Source organism: Homo sapiens, chromosome 9 (assembly GCF_000001405.40).
Source record: "Homo sapiens chromosome 9, GRCh38.p14 Primary Assembly".
In the NCBI taxonomy this organism is placed as follows: domain Eukaryota; kingdom Metazoa; phylum Chordata; class Mammalia; order Primates; family Hominidae; genus Homo; species Homo sapiens.
The window spans coordinates 119,051,016-119,066,000 of NC_000009.12; positions in this window are offsets into that span (position 1 = coordinate 119,051,016).

Here is a 14,985-nt window from a genome sequence, read left to right on the forward strand (position 1 = left end):
TCTTTCCTTGCTTATTTTCAATGTGCAACTGATGGAAATGCTACCCCTGGAATTAATTATTGTTCTGGGAAATAAAAAATCTCTTTCTAGTTGTGTCACTATGAAGAAATCATTTCTTCTCACTAGGGCTCGGTTTCCTCATCTGTAAAATGAAGAAATTGGACTAGGTATTTTCTAATGTTATTTTGACTCTGACATTCTATGTTTTTGGTGATTTTTGTTCTTCAGAAGACAGTGTGGCACAATGATTAAGAATTTAGGCTCTGAATCAGACTATGTGGGTTTAAAGTATCACACCTGTATTTAACTTCAGGTGAGTCACTTCCCTCTCTGGCCCTCAATGTCCCCATTTGTAAAATGAGGATATTAATAGTACCTATTCATAAAATGTTTGTAAGGATTCAATGAATTAATGCATGTAAAGTCCCTAGAGCAATGCCTATCACTTTGATATCTTGATAACTAGAATATAATAAAAGTTTACTATTATTTCATCTCTCCCCGTCTCTCTCTCTCTCTCTAAATATATATGTATTATATCAGATACCTGTGTGTATATGATATCTACATGTGTACATATGTACATATAATTTATATTTACATATAAACTATGCATAATATAATCTCTGGGTCTAAAGTGACTTTTCAGCTCTCATCCCTTTCTGGCCATCAAGGAAGTGTTAAAAGTCAAGGTGGTATGCAACTATTTATTTTATATGATATGCATTATTTCTACTTACATTCTAATGACTACTATTTAATCATTTGACAGTAACAAGCTACAAGAGTAGCTAGAATATATAGTCTGTAATTGGGTGACCATATACACTGCTAAAATTTAGGATGTCCATATACACTGCTAAATAAGGGGAGAATAGATATTGGTGAACAATTAGCATTCTTTGCCATAAGAACTATACTCAACAGACAACAGTGTAAAGGATAGACATGGCCCCTGCCCTCATGAACATGTATGATGGACTTGGGAGATAGACCATGGACAATTATTCTTGCTGTGAATAGGGGTCAATGAAAAAGCAAGGCCCATAATAAGACCTGAAGAACAGGTGGAGTGGGCCACATAAAAGCTGTGGACGGAGGGAGTACAGGGCATTACCAGCAAATGAGACTGCACAAGTATCTGAAAAGAATAAATAATATGATACATTTCAAGAACTGCAAGACATTCTAAATGAAAAGACGAGGACAGAAGGTGAGGCTAGAAAAGTAAATAAAGAAAGTAGGAAACAGGGCTTACCATATTAAATTGTGTGGGCTTTAGTCTATAGTCCATGAGCCAACATCACAGTATTTTAAGCAAGGAAATGGGGTAAATCACAGGAGGTCCACATGACATTGAGAAAAGAAGTATTAGATGATGCATAAAGTTGGACAGTGAAGGAGGGCACTTTAAAACTGTCTTTTAGTGGGGGAATAAAATTGGAGCAGGGGAGGGAAGGGTGAACTCATAGAGAAGTTATGATGATCTAAGTTTAGCTGCTTGAGGGCGATTTGCCAGAGGCCCAGAACCCAGTTTACGGAAGCCTCGGGGCACCTGGCAGCACCTCAATTCTGCGTACTGCTGTTTCTCAAACCTGGCTGCATTCCAAAGAGCCAGGAAGGGTGAGAAAGCGGGACAGGGAGGGGAAAAAATGGCTAGGTGAACTTTTCTATCTTCCAACTAACCTCCGCCATTTGAAAAGTGAACTACTAGAGGAGCAGGGACAAGCAGAGACAGAACCCTGCTTGCATCCTGCGCAGCGGAGGAAGGAGCAGCAGCAATGCAGAGGAATTATTATGCTGCCTTGCTGGAGTCTTTAGAATAACCCCCCTAGGAGTTTAGATTGAAGTAGGGCAGTCGTAAGGCAGGCTAACCCATCCTCCACTTGAAGTGAGCTACAGCAGCCCTTCACCTAAGACAGCAAGTGGGGCAACTCTTGAAATCACTATGGCTCTTGCTTCCTTACATCTTATGCTAGGTTGGGGGACACTGTTCATGCTTCCATAAATCGCCCAAAGAATGTGTGCATCCCTGTCTTTCACTATATTTCTGCTACTGTTTAAGAAAGAAAAATCACTCAATGGTCACCTGTGTGAGTGTGTGTCTGTCTGTGTGTTTGTATACCAGCCCTAACTTTGCAGAAGTTAGTCTTGCTTTTTCCCACCTTTCCTCTTCCTGCAGCCCCACAGGACTAGAGAGAGCCTCTTGCTCCATTCCTGAGAGGATGTGTCAACCACCAGCAGCTAAGTCCCTTTGAAGGAGTTTAGTAATATTTTACTTGCCTGGGGTTTGCTGGCCAGAAGTTTGTTTACAAGTTTTGGTGAATTGCAAAGGGGAAGTTGAGAAAAATATTCTTTACTGGAAATCTTGTGTCCTAAGTGTAAGAGCCACTAGGACTAGCCTTTAGCGGTCATGGCATGGACTCAAGGGATAGTTCAGGTGTTAAAATGATGTGAATCAGCCCATTCATTCGTTCATTTATTTATTCTTTCCCTCAGCAACATTGAGAATCTAGCTCATACTGGACATAGGAGCAGCTGCTTGAAGACAATAAGGGAAATGACCATGTGGTTGTTGTCTCACAGAGCTTAGAATGCAGTAAAAGTGGTCAATTTTTTAAATCATAAATAATTATTTAATTTCAATGTGGATCATGCTAAGAAAAAGGGCAAGATGCTTAATGGTTAGGAATTAGGATGAAGAAATAATATACCAAAGGGTCTCTCAGAGAAAGAGAACTGAAAGACAGTGAAAATGAGTCAAACCAGTTGGATTGGGGTGAGCACCCTGGGTCCTAAGCTATAAATAAGGCTGACAAGTTTTAGGAAGATAAAGACAGCCACTATACATAGAGCAAGGGAGCTGATGGGGCAAGTGAGCAGGACCAGACAAGCCATGTGTTTCATCTTAGAAATGGGTAAACTGAGGCCCAGAACAGGCAAGCAGGTAGCCCAATCTCACACAGGAAATTTGACACAGACCTGATCCAACAACTCAAGCCATCCTTTTCTCTGTGTTTAAGTGGAATATAGCTTCTAATGTCCCAAACAGGAAAAAACCTAGACTTCTGGGGAACTGAAAAAAAAACACCTCAAAAAAGAGGTTCTTTAATATATTCAGCAAACTTTTTGAATGAGCAAATTCTTTATAACCAGAAAGCCATTTTTGATAACTAAATTCCATATCCACTTTTCTTTCTTCTCCAATTTTAGCATTTTGGCAGAATATTTTATAGCCTTCTCCTATATAAGAGCCCACTGTAGATTTCAAAATTATTACTCTGTTTCAAGTCACCCTTTTTTATCTTCTCATACAATATTGTAAGAATTTTTTTCTTCTGTTATGAATATAAAAAAGGTAAATTTTCTACTTGCATGTTTATTGTTCTCTGAGGCTTCTCATGGTATATAACACAGCCCTAAGAGTTGTAAAGGACAGAAACAATTTATAAGAGATGACAACAAGCAAATGAAACAAAACATTTTTTAAATGTCATATATGTTAGTTAGGTGGATAAAGAAAAGTTCCTGGAAGGTAAGTTGGAAATACATGTCAAAATCTTAGAAAATGCACAGACTCTTTGACCTAGCGATTCTACTTCTGAGAATTTACCTTGAAGAAATAATCACAAACGTATCAAGGATCACTAGAAGCAGCACAGTAGTACAGTTACCGGAAAGGGGTCCCGATCCAGACCCCAAGAAAGGGTTCTTAGATCTCATTCAAGCAAGAATTTGGGGCAAGTCTATAGAGTAAAGTGAAAGCAAGTTTATTAGTGAAGTAAAGAAACAAAAGAATGGCTACTCCAGAGGCACAGCAGTGGTGCAGGCTGCTCAACTGATTAGACTTATAGCTATTTCTTGATTATATGCTAAACAAGGGGTGGATTATTTATGAGTTTCCTGGGAAGGGGGTGGGCAATTCCCAGAACTGAGGGTCCCCCCCACCTTTTTAGACCATATAGAGTAACTTCCTGATGTTGCCATGCCATTTGTAAATGGTCATGGCACTGGTGGGAGTGTCTTTTGGAAGCTAATGTATTATAATTAGCATACAGTGAGAAGTGAGGATGACAAGAGATCACTTTCATCATCTTGGTTTTGGTGGGTTTTGGCTAGTTTCTTTACCACAACCTGCTTTATCAGCAAGGTCTTGTGACCTGTATCTTGTGCCGACCTCCTATCTCATCCTATGACTGAGAATGCCTAACCTTCTGGGAATGTGGCCCAGTGGTTCTCAGCCTCATTTTAACCAGACTGTATCGAAGATGGAGTGGCTCTGGTTCAAATGCCTCTGACTATACTAGCATTATTTAAAATAAAATAAAATACAATTTGGGAGGCCGAGGAAGGCAGATCACTTGAGGTCAGGAGTTTGAGACCAGCCTGGCCAACAGGGTGAAACCACGTCTCTACTAAAAATACAAAAATTAGCTGGGTGTGGTGGAGTGTGCCTGTAATCCCAGCTACTCGAGAGGCTGAGGCAGCAAAATCTCTTGAATCTGGGAGGCGGAGGTTGCAGTGAGCCAAGATCGCACTACTGCACTGCAGCCTGGACAACACAGTGAGACTTTGCTCAAAAATAAATAAATTAATTAAATAAACCAAAAAAAAAGGAGGAACCGAATGATCCACAGTAGGGAATGGATTACATCTATTATAGTGCATCTTATATCTACAACGGAAATGCACACCCACACAAGCTAAGAAAATGAAACACTAGAATTATAACAGTAAGAAATATCAGGTTAGGAACATGGTGGGTGCTGAAGAAACCTTTCTAATGTGTAATAAAACACCTGCAGTTATATTCATTTGTTCATCAAATCTGTACTGAGTTCCTACTCTGTGCCAGGCATTATTCTAGATGCTGGCAATACATCACTTAGTAGATACAGGTGTGGACGATGCCTTCAGGGAACTTACAGTCTCACCTAGGTAAGAGCTGTTGTATTTGACTAATAGTATTGAACACGATTTCATCTCTTCCTTTCTACTTTTTTATGTGCATTGGGAAATAGTTTTACTTCTGCAATCTAAAAAGTTCTGTAGGTAAGTAAGTATATATGTGTATTAGTTCCTTTTCACACTGCTGATAAAGACATATCTTAGACTGGGTAATTTATGAAGCAAAAGAGGTTTAATTAACTCACAGCTCTCCATGACTGGGGAGACTTCACAATCATGGCAGAAGATGAAAGGCATGTTTCACCTGGTGGAAGGGAAGAAAGAATTTGAGCAGGGAAGCTCCCCTTTATAAAACCACAGATCTCATGAGACTTACTCATTATCATGAGAACAGCACAGGAAATACCCACCCCCATGATTCAATTACATCCCACCAGCTCCCTCCCATGAGACACGTGAGAACTGTGGGAGCTACAATTCAAGATGAGATTTGGGTGGGGACACAGCAAAATCGTATCAATATTGATATATCACTTTTATAATCATTATTTATTTGATTCTCACAGGTACTCCTGTGAAGGAGGGATGAAGGGGAAAAGAGAATGCAGGAGGAAGGAAGCATTGGCCATAAATCTACAAGAGGCTAGGCGTTTCATTTACTTTACCTTATTGAGATTTGGGGATACTTCAGAGCATCATAATTTAATTATTAATCCTGTTTTGCAGTTCAGGAAGGTTTCAGGTCAAAAGGCTAGTGTTCAGGGAAATACTAGAGCTGATGCACGTTTACCAGTTCACACTTCCTTCAACTATGTGTAATTGAACATGCACAAGTGCTTTAGGGAACTCCAGCTGGGTATCCTACCACTCCCTGGAACTCAAACACAAAACTAGACTCTTGATTACTCTCTTTTTAATCTTCTGCCCCAGGCAGGTGGCTTCGTCTCCCCTATGTCAATTTCTGCAAGTGTAAAATGAGAATGCTAATAATTTTCTTAAAGAGTTAGTATAAGATTCAAATTAGTTAATACATTAAAGTTCTTAAAATAAGACCTCATATGTAGTAAGCTCTCAATAAATGTCACCTGTCTATCGATCATCACCATTATTATTAATTATGCTGTTTGTCCCTGTCTTGTGTAAAACAAACCATACACAGTCACCTTAGGTTCTTGTGTTTCCTTCAGTGTCTTCCTTACCCTCTTATCAAGCACCAAGTCCTGTTGATTCTAACCTAAAACCTGTCTTCCATCTTGATCGCCCACTGTTATGATGACTTAGTGAAAAACCAAATAATAGTAGAGATTTTATTGATATGGCAGCTAGCTTTCAAAACTGAAGCTAAAGGATCAATGAATATGAGGCTCAGGAGGTCAAGATGTCCCTCAGAGAGGAGAGATACAAAAAATGAAGGCTGATTAACAGAAGATATAAATGATCATTTCAGCAACCTAAACATGTCCTACTTTCCCTGGTTTAACAGGCTGAGGGAGAAAAGAGCATCCTCCGTCTACAGAAGTCTTTTCAAAATCTAAGTCAATGTCTGTTCTGCTAGTTTAGTCAGCTTAATGGAGAACAATTGAGCTACTTATCCTTGACCTGTGAATTCAGGAGCCATGTGGAATATATTTCTAAATAGGTGGTAAAACAATCACAACATTAAAAGCAGAGAGACCATTGTTAGAATTATTGGATGTGTGATTTTAGAGTATGTATCTTCAGTTCTCTGAGACTAGTTTCCCTCTTTGGTAGTTAAAGATCATAATATTTATCTCATGGGGCTTTTATGAAGATGAAATGTATGTCATCAATCTTGCACATAGGAGGAAATCAATAAATGGTAGCTATTATCTTATTATTGTGAATGATAAAATGAGTAAAACATGGCCATTTTGTCTTGGTAAAAAGGAAGAAGCAAACAAACATTTATGAATTAATATTTAATGAGTGACAACTCTATGCCATATAATATGTATTTTTATATGTATATACACACATTTAATCCGTCTTTGTTAATAGTTAATAATTTTTATTAAAGTTAATGATTATTAATAGGTAATGGCTGTTAATCATATCATAGCTTTAACAACAATATCTCAAATTAGGTTGATAAAAAATAGATTGTAACAGTTGTAACTTAGAATAACCAAATCATTTTATCCACTTGTAATAGAGAACAAAATTTAATAAATGCCTTAATAAAAACATAAGCCACAAATTTGGCAAATCTGGGTATTTTGTAAAGTATTGTGTAAAGAAAATGATTTTGTAGTCAATTAAGTTTGGCAAACAATGGATATAGAAATAAAATAGAGTTTATTCAGCCAGAATACTATAAATACAGTTTGGAAAAAAATAAAGTGCTAATGGAAGGTCTTGCTTCAATAAGTTTGTAAGATGTTAGTTCAAACAAGGTTGGCTTGAAAAAAATATACAATTAATAGGAGATCTTCCTTCAATAAGTTTTGGTAATGTTAGTTCAATGTTAATGAGATCTCTGGCCCAGTGCGGTGGCTTACGCCTGTAATCTCAGCTTTGTGAGGCCAAGGTGGGCAGATCACCTGAGGTCAGGAGTTCGAGACCGGCATGGTGAAACCCCATCTCTACTAAAAATACAAAAAAGTCAGCCAGGCATGGTGGTGCATGCCTGTAGTCCCAGCTACTTGGGAAGCTGAGGCAGGAGAATCACCTGAACCCAGGTGGCGGGGGTTGCAGTGAGCTGTGATCACACCACTGCACTCCAGCCTGGGTGACAGAGTGAGACTCCATCTCAAAAACAAAATGAAACAAAACAAAACAAAAACATAGTTAATGAAATCTCTTAATTTCAGTTTCTCAAAGACCATATATACTAATGACATATATGAGCAAACAAAAGTATTATATGATGTGACTCAGTCAATGTTTAACTATATAATTACAATTTTGCTTTGTCGTGATTGTTTTTGTTTGGTTGGTTTGGGGGAGAAATCTATGAAGCTAGTGTTTTAGCTGTTGTTTTTCTGTTTGCTTTCTGTTTGTTTGTTTGTTTGAAACAAACAAGCTTTTAGAAATAGCTTCTATAAGATTCAAGAGAGAAGATCTTTACGATACTTTGTGTAACAAAGACTACTAGTTTTCTCTAGTATCCATTCTCTTTTCTATCATAAAACCTGTAAATTTTAGCCCAACACAAACCATTTAGAACAGATATTATCTTTACCAGGCTTCCTGATATGATCAATTTCTGGTGAATAGAATAAAAAAGTGCTATTTGCAAGTTCCAGGAAATGTTCTATAAGAGAATGTATTCCACAAATGTTTTTCTGTAAAGAGCCAGATAGCAAATAGTTTCTGCTTTGCAAACAATACAGTCTCTCTCTCAACTACTCAACTCTGCCATTGTAGTTTGAAAGTAATCATAGATAATGTAGACACAAATGTAAACAAATGTTCATAGCTGTGTTCCTATAAAACTTTATTCATAAAAATAAGCAGCACAATGCACCTAAATACAGTGGGCATTACATGTAAAACAAATATAAGACTGATAGGTTTTAAGAGGAAGAAGACTCTTCAGAGACCTTGGGCGGTAATGGATGGCATGGTAGTGAGTTCCTTGAGTTCTCATTTATAGATCCCAGAGTTGAAGAAGCTGACCACCCACAGACACCTGTGGACAGAGACAGAGAAAGCCCCAACAAAACCCCAATCTCTAGTCAAAAGACAAGGAAAGGATCTTTTTAGCAAGAAGGAAAATTTGTACAGAATAACTGTTCTACTCCAGGCCGGAAGAAAAAGTGTTCCTCATGCTCACCCATATCAGCAATGACCAAGTGGAGAACCTAGACATTCACTCTCATGAAGCTAGAAAGAGACACCCAACATCCCCGTTGAGGTGGTGTCAGAGAAGGCAAAGTAGGAAGCTGGGATCCCTATGGTGCCTTGGAGACCACATAGGAAGCCTGGGCTTCCACACCCACTCTACAGTTACAAACTATTTCTATTTCTTCTCAGAGGTGGCCTATGGAGAATCAGCCCTACACCATCACCAAGTGGTAACTAGGCCACCTTCAGCACAGTATCGGTGGAGACCATTCAGGAAGCTGACAGTAATAAGGAGTGATGAGAAGCAGAATGAGAAATGTTTCCTGCTTAGTGACAATGAAGGTCAAGTAGGAAACCTGGACTTCCTGACAATGTAATGAGGCAGTAGCCCCTTTTTCTGAAGTAGTGTCAGAGAAAGTTAGCTGAAAAGAGATTTAAATAAGATAGAGAATCTCATAACATAATGTGAAAAAATATAGGTTTTCACAGAATATGACTTCACACAAAGAACCAAGAAGGTCTTAAACCAAATGGAAAAAAAAGACAATCAATATATGTCACACTAAGATAACCAAGAACATAGAATTATCTGACAAAGATTTTAAAGTAGCCATGACAGAAAAAAATGATTCAATAAGCAATTACAAACAGGCTTAAAACAAATTATAAAAATAAAAAGTCTCAGCAAAGAAACTGAAAATATAAAGAAGAACTAAATGAAAATTATAAAGCAGAAAAATACAATAACCAAAATAAAAATGTTCAATGGATAGGGTCATCAGCAGATGGAGGACACCAAGGAAAGTACCAGTAAACTGGAAGAGAGAACAATAGAAATCACTTAATCTGAACAACAAATATAAAATAGGTTGAAAAATATGAGTAAATCTCAGAGAGCAGTGGGGCTATAACAAAAGGTTTAGCATTTCTGTCATCAACTTCCCAGAAAGAAAGGAGAAAAATGGCACAGCTAAAATGAGACTCAAAGATGTGAAGGCTGAAAACTTCTTAAGTTTGTCAAGCCATAAACCTAGCCATAAACACCCGGGTGGGCCTGTAGTCCCAGCTAGTTGGGAGGATCACTTGGCTCCAGAAGTTTGAGGTTGCAATGTACTAGGATTGATTTCCCCTGTGAATAACCACCACACTCCAACCCAGACAATATAGCAAGACTCTATCTCTTAATTTTTTCAGTAATCAAAAAAGGCATAAGTCTACAGATTCAATAAGCTAAGCAAATTCCAAATAGGATAAACTGAAAGATGAAAACACACACCAAGACACATTATAACTTCTGAAAGTAGGAGCCAAACACAAAATCTTGACAGTGGCAAGAAAAAAAAAATGACATCTCATTAACAAGAGAAAAGCACTTAAAATGACTGCATATTTTTTATCATGATGGCCAAAAAGGAATTGCACAATATTTTTCAAATGTTGAAAATAAAGGGCTGGCAAACCAGAATCCTACACCCAGCCAAAATATGCTTTAGAAATGAAGAGGAAATAAAGACATTCTAAGATCAAGGAAAACTGAGAAGATTCGTTGTTAGCCAATATGCCCTAAATGAATTTAATAAAGTTCCCAAAACAGAAATAAAAGAATAATTTTAAGAATCCTTAGAATACACAAAAATATGGGGAAATGTAACAGGCATTCCTTTCCTTTTTCTAAATTGAATTTGATAGATGAAGCAAAGGCATATTGTTGTCTGATTTCTACCTGTTTGTATATGAAATTATATTTTAAGTAGAGGAAGGTAAAAAGACAGTAAGGGAGCTAAGATTTCTGTACTTCATTCAAATTGGTAAAATGATGGCACCAGTAGACCATATATATGCATATATGATGTAATACCTAGAGCAAACATTAAAAAGTTTGTAACACAGCAAACATTAAAAAGTTATTCAAAGACATAAACTTAAGAAACTAATGATAAATCAAGATGGAATTCAAGAAAAATGTTTAAGTAAGTAATTTATGGGAAGACAGAAAAAAGTAAACAGACAACAATGAAAGAAAACAAACAGGAAAAATATAGAATAGCAGACTTAAGTCCTAATATATTAAAATATATTAAATATAAAATGTCTAAATATACCAACTGAATAGACAGGGATTGGCAGATTGGATTAAAAATATGGCTGAACTAAAGATTTTCTATAAGAAATACACCTTAATATAACAATACAGTCAGATTAAAGGTGAAAATATCATAGTACATGTATCATGAAATTATTAATCAAAGGAAACCAGGAGGAATATATTAATATCAAATAAATTAGACTTCAAAGCAAATAAAATTACCACGAAAGGTATTATATATTGATAAAAGTGTCAGTCCTCCAAGAAAACATAGCAACTCAAGGTATGCATCACCAAACAAGAACTTCAAAATATGTAGATAATATGGAATATGTGAATCAACCATAATGGAATCAAACTAGAAATCAATAACAAAAGGTAACAAACAATTTCCCCCACAGTTGTAAACTATACAACACACTTTTAAATAACTCATGAAATAAAGAGGTAGTTTTTTTTATCTTTTATTTTAGGTTCCGGGGTACATGTGAAGGTTTTTTATATAGGTAAACTCATGTCATGGGGGTTTATACAGATTATTTTATTACCGAGATATTAAGCCTCTTACCCAACAGTTTTTTTTTCTCCTCTCCCTCCTCCCAACCTTCACCCTTAAGTAGACTTCAGTGTCTGTTTTCCCTTCTTTGTGTTCATGAGTTCTCATCATTTAGCTTCCACTTATAAGTGAGAACATGCAATATTTGGTTTTCTGTTCCTGTGTTAGTTTACTAAGGATAATAGCCTCCAGCTCCATCCATGTTCCCATGAAAGACATGATCCTGTTCTTTTTTATGGCTACCTAGTAATCCCCGATGTATATGTACCATTTTTTTTTTATTAAATCTGTCATTGATAAGCATTTAGATTGATAGGCATTTAGGTCTTTGCTGTTGTGAATAGTGCTGCAATGAACATTCACATGCATGTGTCTTTATGGCAGAATGATTTATGTTCCTCTGAGTATATACCCAGTAATGAGATTGCTGGATCAAATAGTAGTTCTGCTATTAGCTCTTTGAGGAATCACCTTTCTGAGTTCCACAATGATTGAACTAATTTACACTCTCACAAAAGGTGTATAAGTGTTCCTTTTTCTCCACAACCTTGCCAACATCTGTTATTTTTTTTTTTTTTACCTTTTAATAATGGCCATTCTGACTGATGTGAAATGGTATCTCATTGTGGGTTTGATTTGCATTTCTCTAATGATCGGTGATGTTGAGCTTTTTTCATATGTTTGTTGGCTGCGTGTATATCTTCTTCGGAAAAGTGTCTGTTTATGTCCTTTGCCCACTTTTTCATGGGGTTGTTTGTTTTTCTCTTGTAAATTTGCCTAAGTTCCTTATAGATGCTAAATATTAGACCGTTGTCAAATGTATCATTTGAAAATATTTTCTCCCATTTTCTGAGTGGTCTGTTTATTCTGTTGATCTGTTGATAGTTTTTCTTTTACTCTGCAGAAGCTCATTAGTTTAGTTAGATCCCATTTGCTCATTTTTGCTTTGTTGCGATTGCTTTTAGTGTCTGTGTCAAATCCTGCCCATTTCTATGTCCAGGATAGTATTGCCTAAATTACTTTCCAGGGTTTTTTTTTTTTAATATACTTTAAGTTTTAGGGTACATGTGCACAATGTGCAGTTTAGTTACATATGTATACATGTGCCATGTTGGTGTGCTGTACCCAGTAACTCATCATTTCACATGAGGTATATCTCCTAATGCTATCCCTCCCCACTCCGCCCACCCCACAATAGGCCCCGGTGTGTGATGTTCCCCTTCCTGTGTCCATGTGTTCTCATTGTTCAATTCCCACCTATGAGTGAGAACGTGGTGTTTGGTTTTTTGTCCTTGTGATAGTTTGCTGAGAATGATGGTTTCCAGCTTCATCCATGTCCCTACAAATCATCATTTGTAGGGATGAACTCATCAAGGACATGAACTCATCATTTTTTATGGCTGCACAGTATTCCATGGTGTATATGTGCCACATTTTCTTAATCCAGTCTATCATTGTTGGACATTTGGGTTGGTTCCAAGTCTTTGCTATTGTGAATAGTGCCACAATAAACATACGTGTGCATGTCTTTATAGAAGCATGATTTATAATCCTTTGGGTATATACCCAGTAATGGGATAGCTGGGTCAAATGGTATTTCTAGTTCTAGATCCCTGAGGAATTGCCACACTGACTTCCACAATGGTTGAACTAGTTTACAGTCCCACCAACAGTGTAAAAGTGTTCCTATTTCTCCACATCCTCTCCAGCACCTGTTTCCTGATTTTTTAATGATTGCCATTTTAACTGGTGTGAGATGGTATCTCATTGTGGTTTTGATTTGCATTTCTCTGATGGCCAGTGATGATGAGCAATTTTTCATGTGTCTGTTGGCTGCATAAATGTCTTCTTTTGAGAAGTGTCTGTTCATATCCTTCGCCCACTTGTTGATGGGGTTGTTTTTTTCTTGTAAATTTGTTTGAGTTCGTTGTAGATTCTGGATATTAGTCCTTTGTCAGATGAGTAGATTGCAAAAATTTTCTCCCATTCTGTGGGTTGCCTGTTCACTCTGATGGTGGTTTCTTTTGCTGTGCAGAAGCTCTTTAGTTTAATTAGATCCCATTTGTCAATTTTGGCTTTTGTTGCCATTGCTTTTGGTGTTTTAGACATGAAGACCTTGCCCATGCCTATGTCCTGAATGGTATTGCCTAGGTTTTCTTCGAGAGTTTTTATGGTTTTAGGTCTAACCTGTAAGTCTTTAATCCATCTTGAATTAATTTTTGTATAAGGTGTAAGGAAGGGATCCAGTTTCAGCTTTCTACATATGGCTAGCCAGTTTTCCCAGCACCATTTATTAAATAGGGAATCCTTTCCCCATTTCTTGTTTTTGTCAGGTTTGTCACAGATCAGATAGTTGTAGATATGCGGCATTATTTCTGAGGGCTCTGTTCTGTTCCATTGGTCTATATCTCTGTTTTGGTACCAGTACCATGCTGTTTTGGTTACTGTAGCCTTGTAGTATAGTTTGAAGTCAGGTAGTGTGATGCCTCCAGCTTTGTTCTTTTGGCTTAGGATTGACTTAGCAATGTGGGCTCTTTTTTGGTTCCATATGAACTTTAAAGTAGTTTTTTCCAATTCTGTGAAGAAAGTCATTGGTAGCTTGATTGGGATGGCATTGAATCTATAAATTACCTTGGGCAGTATGGCCATTTTCATGATATTGATTCTTCCTGTCCATGAGCATGGAATGTTCTTCCATTTGTTTGTATCCTCTTTTATTTCATTGAGCAGTGGTTTGTAGTTCTCCTTGAAAGGGTCCTTCACATCCCTAGTAAGTTGGATTCCTAGGTATTTTATTCTCTTTGAAGCAATTGTGAATGGGAGTTCACTCATGATTTGGCTCTCTGTCTGTTATTGGTGCATAAGAATGCTTGTGACTTTTCAACATTGATTTTGTATCCTGAGACTTTGCTGAAGTTGCCTCTCAGCTTAAGGAGATTTTGGGCTGAGACAATGGGGTTTTCTAGATATACAATCATGTCATCTGCAAACAGGGACAATTTGACTTCCTCTTTTCTTAATTGAATACCCTTTATTTCCTTCTCCTGCCTGATTGCCCTGGCCAGAACTTCCAACACTATGTTGAATAGGAGTGGTGAGAGAGGGCATCCCTGTCTTGTGCCAGTTTTCAAAGGGAATGCTTCCAGTTTTTGCCCATTCAGTATGATATTGGCTGTGGGTTTGTCATAAATAGCTCTTATTATTTTGAGATACGTCCCATCAATACCTAATTTATTGAGAGTTTTTAGCATGAAGCGTTGTTGAATTTTGTCAAAGGCCTTTTCTGTATCTATTGAGATAATCATGTGGTTTTTGTCATTGGTTCCCTTTATATGCTGGATTATGTTTATTGATTTGCATATGTTGAACCAGCCTTGCATCCCAGGGACGAAGCCCACTTGATCATGGTGGATAAGCTTTTTGATGTGCTGCTGGATTCAGTTTGCCAGTATTTTATGGAGGATTTTTGCATCAATGTTCATCAGGGATATTGGTCTAAAATTCTCTTTTTTTGTTGTGTCTCTGCCAGGCTTTGGTATCAGGATGATGCTGGCCTCATAAAATGAGTTAGGGAGTATTCCCTCTTTTTCTATTGATTGGAATAGTTTCAGAAGGAATGGTACCAGCT